Here is a 6,948-nt window from a genome sequence, read left to right on the forward strand (position 1 = left end):
AAGGTTGTATCTCCGTGGGCTCCACATTCTCAGATCAAAGAACCAGAAGCCAAGCTAAATACCCAGAGAGCGTCAAACAAAAATCCAGCAAGAACAACAATATTAAGGCTGAGAATTAGAGGCCATTCATTTATTCATTCGTTCATTCATTCACTCACTCAGCAAGTACTTCCTGAGTGCCGACAGTGTGCCAGGAATTCTACCAGGCACTGGGGATCCAACAGGAAGCAGTAGAAATATGGTCCCTCCCCTGGTGGAACATAGACTCTATCAAGGGAAATATACCAAAAGAGAGAGGCAAACCTATACAGACCAGAGTTGGAAACATTAATTAAACCATTGAAAATTATTGACAAAATTATATTATTTTAAACCATTGACAAATTATAAGTAAATTATATTAAACCATTGACAAATTATTGTCAAATTATACAAACCATGACAATTTATTTGTTATGGTTTTTTTATTATATTGCAATTTAAACCATTGACAAACTGTATTATATATGAATTATAATAAACCATTGTCAAATTATACCAAACCATGACTCTTGGAAACATTAATTAAACCATTGACAAATAAATACATATATTAAGTAACAGCACAAATTACTGTGGTTCATTTATTTATTGAATGTTTATTTATACCTACTATGTGCTAGCTGCTGTCCTAAACACTGAGGTTGTAGTACAGATACCGGGACTGCTTCTCGCTGGCTAAATTTGAGATAGAAGCTTATCCCTGGACAGACTCCTGTGACACAGAGAATGGAATATTCTGGTCCTATGTCCATCCCTAGAGCAACTGGGCTCCACCCAGGCGACATGGGCTTACTCAAGTCAGGGTGGCTTCCCAGAAAGAAAATAGGAGACATTTCCACAAACAGGAGATAACTGGATATTAGGTGATGAGACTCTACTGACATTATCTGCAAACTTTTCTTCATTTCCTGAAGTTCATTCACCACAGCCTTTCCTTCTGCCTCAGTTCTTCTGGCCACACATTCTGAGCCAGAACTCCTCACTTTATGCGTGCTTGCTGTGGTTGGCTGACAGCTGGGTGGTTTCCAGGGATGCCATGTCATGCAGCCTGGGCTCACAGGAGGAATACAAGGCTCCCTCCACTGGGATATTGAGTGGTTTCTTTTAATATAATGGTTAATCAGAAGTACATCTGTGTCCAGGTACATCTGTGAGGCAGACAGAACCATCTACAGTGCACTAAGATGAGGCTGAAGGCAATGCACTGCTTTTAATGCTCCTGGCCTGCCAATCAAGCTGCATCTGATTGATGAGGATGCCTGCTGCAACCCCTGCTGGTCTCTTTACAAATTCAAGCTTATCAATTCATGAGTCTCCTGAAAGATTGACGAGCTCCGTGATCCAGGCAAAACATTATTTTCTGCCTAAATCTGCATTAGTTTTTGATTCTTGCCAGAACACATTACCACTTAGTGCCTTGAAACAGCACGAATTTATTATCTCACATTTTTTTTTTAATAAGTTGAAAATCCACTGTGAATTCCACCAGGCTAAAATCAAGGTGTCTGCAGGGCTGTGTTTCTTCCTGGCAGCTCTAGGGGATAATTGGTTTCCTTGCCCATTCAGGTTCTTTCTTGTGCTTGTAGGCTGAGGTTCCTGTTTCCCTCTTGGCTGTTAACTGAGGGCCACCTCCAGGTTCTACTAATAGAAGACGTCCTCACTCCTTGCCTCATAGTTCCCTTTCTCCTTCTTATCAGCCAAAGACAGCGAGTAGAGTCTCTCTCCTGCTTCAGGTCTCTTCCGCCTCTTCTTCTGTCCTCACCTTTCCCTGTCTGACTCTTTTGCCTTCCTCTTCCACTTTTAATTAATAATTAATAATTTGAATTAATAATCACATTTTAATAATGTGATTATTATGAGTTCACCAAGAAAATCCAAAATAATCCATTTTAAGGCCCCCAATCTTAATTCCATCTGCAAATTTCCTTCTGTCATGCAGTGTAACATGTTCACAGTTTCCAGTTTCAGGTCATGAACATCTTTGGGGACAATGCCTACCACGAAAGCGAATCCAAATGTTGAGATATTGTGTTGGAGTAGAAATTTGAGGTCATTGAAGTCACCCTCTGACTTGACATCCTGATCTCTCTCCTTTGTATTGGGAGCCTGCTGCTAACAGAGCAAGATGTATTTCTGCCCCTTCTCCTATAGGTGATGGAATGATCTCCAGGGCTCGAGAAGGCACCCTGGCCTGGGGAGGTCGGAAACATAACTCCTCTTTGAGTTCCAGCCCCGACATGGGTGTGAGCAAGGGGGCAGCACACTGCTGCTTGGGACTATGTGGGTTGGAATTGCAGCACCAGCACTCTCTAGCTCTGCAACTGTGGATGAGTCCCCTAACATCTCTCTTCCTCAGTTTCCTCATCTACAGTGTGGGGAGATTCAAGGGTTTACTTTGTTTAAGGTTCAATTCTAGCCCATGTTGCATATAACGGTGACCCAACTGACATGTCCTGCTGTCAAGTGCATACATTGTAGAGGGAAAGTCAGAATAAGAACATAACTGCCTATCCATCCACAAGCTCACTTCAAACGGTAGAAAGCAATGTGGAGAAGATAAGCCCCAGTAATATGTGAGAGAGTTATCAGCAGGGTTGAGTGGTGAAAAGGGATAGTCAGAAATTGTAATCTAGGAAGGAAAGCCTTTGTTAGGAGATGAAGCTGAGATCTGAATAATGAGAAGGAGCCTGCCATGGACAGGTCAGGGGAGAGGATTGCAGGCAGAAGAAGCCACAAAGTGCAAAGGACTTGAGGCAGGAGCATTTCACAAGAGATCTGTGAGAGAAGGGGTATGATGGAGGCTCAAATCATAGAAAAGGGACAAATAAATTCTAGCTAGGGAGGAGGTGATATTTGACCAAGACCTTAAAAGATGGTAAAGTTTCACCCAATGCACATGGTGAGGATGAACATGCTAGTCTTGAAGACAATCTGACCCAAAGCACCATAGAGGGACAGTGGCAGCTGGAGCCCCGGGCTTGAGGAAGTATGGGCAGGACACAGTATGTCTTGGCAAAGAATTAGCTAAGTAAATCTATAGGTAAAGTGTTGCAACTGGTAGCTTTTCAAGAATGGAGTAATAACTATTCCTGCTGTGAAAAATCACTGTGGTGATGGATGGGTGAATGAATACAGGAAGACCAGTAGGAGAGCATGCCACCAGTACCCAGAGGGATGCCCAAGGCCTGAATCAGGTCCTTCTTTGCAGTGAGTAGGTGGGGTATGGACAGCGAGGACTATTTGTGTCTTCTCTGGGAGGTGTGCACACTGGAACCTAGTGACCAACTGAATTTGGAATGCGAGAGAGAGTCAAGGGTGATTCTGAATCCGAGTTGTTACCTTGGTAGATGAGCATATGGTCAATGGACAGAGAAGGAGGCAACAGGAGAAGAGGAAATAGGAAATGGCGTGGGGTTGGGCTTGGTGGAGCTTGCTGCCAGAGATGTGTAGAACTAGAAGAGCCTGGGGTTGTGTGTGGTTTGCTGGACCCAGGATGCAAAGGCTGAGTTAATCACACAACTCAGTCGATGGCAGATTATTACAATTAGTCAACCCCACACAACACCAATCCCTTGATTGATTGGTTGATTCATTCATCTATTCATCTTATTTCCATTCTCCATTCTTGTTTTTTTACCCATAGGTAATGCATGTCTTGGTGTATGGGTGTGTGTGTAGGTGTAGGTGTTATTTTCAGGATGTGTATTGTTGATTCTTGTGCATGTGTTTGTAATCTGCATAAATGTTATCGCTTTATAAAATTATATATACATATGGGTCCATATTCCACATTGGGTTTTTTATACCCATCCATCTTGCTGTGGTACAACCATTGCTTCTGAAGGCTGCTCTCTATGGGGGTCACCCACCAAATTGACTTATAGATTGTCTCCAACTTCCTGGTCCCCAAATAATTCTGTGATGTTTATCTTCTTACGAGGATTACGTTATGGATACCAGTATGAATTTCTGTGGTGTATATTCAGAAGCATTTCTTTGACAGCTATGGGTTGGAAGTGCTCTTCATATTCATGTTAGACTTCAGGATTTTCTCTTCTGTGAATCTCCTCTGTCCAGTTTTCCTTGGGGGTTGCTTTCCTTTTTGCATTGATTAGCAAAAATTACTTATATATTCTAGATTTTAATCCTTTGTGGTTGTAAGTATTTTATACTTGTGGCATGCACTTTAAAATCTATGTTCCCAGAATTTGTTACCTACTTATCCTGCTTTTCATTTTTCAGCTTTGTAGAATCTCTTTTTTCTCTCCCACCCTCCTTTCCATGAATGTTATAAAGCACTTATTCTAGTTGCTAATGTTTCTGAGTGGTAGGAATAGAGCATGTCAGGTATAATATCTTCCCTTATGCATATTTAACTCATTTTTGAGCACTATGATATTGAACAAGAAAATTTAAGCCTGCTGAGGAGATCATCTGATCTTGCATGGGAGGCAGAGGTGTATTGGTAAATGATTAACAAGTAGCTTTCTGGGGAAAAGCCCACAGTTTATAGCATCTGCCAATGTTTGTGGTGTAAATACTTCAGTATGGCTGATTTAAAGCTTCTATCATGTACCACAATTTGATGGGGTCAGGGAAGATCTACCTCTGGAGCTGATATTTGAGTTGAGGTCTAAAAGACCTAGAAGGAGGTAGTTCAAATGGCAGTCATCACGTCATCCAAGCAAGAGATAGTAGGAAAAGAAGGGGCCAAACAGACGCATAGCAACTGAGTCCACATCCCTTTAAGGTACTTTCCCATTTCCCCTACCCAGCACCTGTTTCCATGTCTCCTTGCCCTGAACTGTGACATTTAGCTAATCTTATCCCAAGGGGATCTGGATGATGTAATTTTTAAGGCTTGATGTATTTCCAGCCCCAACAAAATCAGGGTTCTGTTCCCTAGAAACAGAAGTGGAATTGTATTGAATACACAGAGAGCAGTCTCTGTCACATAAATGTAAAATAAATGTGGTACAAAGAATGAAGACAAAATCATCTTCTTTCAAGACATTTTTGCTGGGAAGTAGATGAGAAAACACACCCTATACCTGGAGAGGGACCCAATATCTAACTCGGATTTTATTTTCTTGTTTTGTAAATGCTGAAATTAACTTGACCCTGTGCAAAGGCAGAAATGAGATTGTGAGTTCCAGAATTTTGAGGTAAAGACAGGCTTATTTCCTGAGGGCCTAAAAGAATTTGTCAGTTTTCCATGCGCATTTCCAGGAAACCATTGAATAGCTACCTCCCCTTTTCACTCACTTTAGAGATTTGTGCTTAAAAAAAAGTAGTTGACTGGGTCTATTAGATTTTTGCAGTTTTGCATTTAATTCATTTATAGGTAGCTGGTTTAATTTGCCTCTTCCACATTTTAAAGTTTTATTTTTGTCTACTAATGAGTTGTGCAGCAAGCAAGTCTAAAGAAATTCAACATGACTGCGCTAAAAAGGCGTACAAATTGCATTTTGTGGTATTTTTTATTCTACCTAGAGGGGAATCATTCAGTGACAGTTTCATCGGATTTCTTCTATAAATGGAGTATACATTTTAGTTCTACAATTCCATTAAAAACAAACTATTCTTGTCATGTTTTAGGTGATTACAGCTTATTGTCACTTAGAAGACTTCAAAGATCACTTAATTAGAGAAAGGAAGAAGATAATGTATTACATACCATTATAATTTATAATCCAGAATTATGAAATTAGATATTTTAATTATGTAAGATTGCATGCTTTCTGAGCCACATAGTCTAAATCCACAAAGCTCTTTGCAAATCATTATGCACACTTTCTTCTTTGTTCTCTTTATATTTTATTCAGAGCATTATCTGAATTTGTGTCTGCCACTCTGATTATGGACCTTTTGCAGACAGTTGCTGACTGGTTGTTTCTGCATCCCCAGCACAGGACTGGCAGCTTGTTAGAGCTCATTAAGTATTTGTCGATTTGAATTAAATTTGAAATACTGTATTAAAAATCTTGCACCAACCTCCAGGGTCCTTAGCAGTGATTTTTGTTCTCACTATGGCAATGTAGTTGCATTCCACACTTATTAAATATATTGATGCTTTCCCTCCAAATGGAACTCCAAACTTTTATACAGTGCCTGTACTCTGCTGAATTTCACTTAAGGACATTTCTGCCTGCTCTTGGTGTTGAGACTTCAGGATCAATATGAGGAGTTACTTCCTTAGAAGAAAGAAATACTACTGAGTGATTTCACATTGCTTAGGATCTGAACTTTTTAACTTTTAACAAATTTTTCATTGACTAATAATTGTATACATTTATGAATTCCAGTATGATGTTATGATACATGTATACATTGTAGGGTCACTAAATCAGGATAATTAACATATCCATTACCTCACATACTTATTATTTCCATTTACCAAAAAGATGAAAGATATCAAGTGTTGGCAAGGATGTGAAGGAAAGGTAACATTTGTGTACTCTTAGTGGTAATGTAACTTAGTACAGCCTTTTTGGAAAACAATATAGAGATTCCTCTAAAACTAAACATAGAACTACCATGTGATCCAGCAATCACGCTTCTCATTATATAGCCAAAGGGTCTGATTTAATGATCATCTTGATATCTGAAATTTTGATTGGGCTTAAAGAGGAAAAGGAATTCTTTTCCCTTTGTAAACTTGATAAAGACTGGGTTGTGAATATGTGGGCCATGGCAGAATGTGACAAAAATCCAGACCCTATGTTCACTAACTCAAGAACTTCTCTAACACATTGCTAACCTTTCTGACACCCTCTTACAACACTCAACGCTCCAACCCTTTGGTCTGGTGTTCCAGTCACGTGGACTTTCCATGGGTTTCTTGAATCGCAAGATTGTTCTCACCTCAAGACATTTCGTTGTTCTTCTTTTCATTGTCTGAAAGGT

This window comes from Homo sapiens, chromosome 12, assembly GCF_000001405.40.
Source record: "Homo sapiens chromosome 12, GRCh38.p14 Primary Assembly".
NCBI lineage: Eukaryota > Metazoa > Chordata > Mammalia > Primates > Hominidae > Homo > Homo sapiens.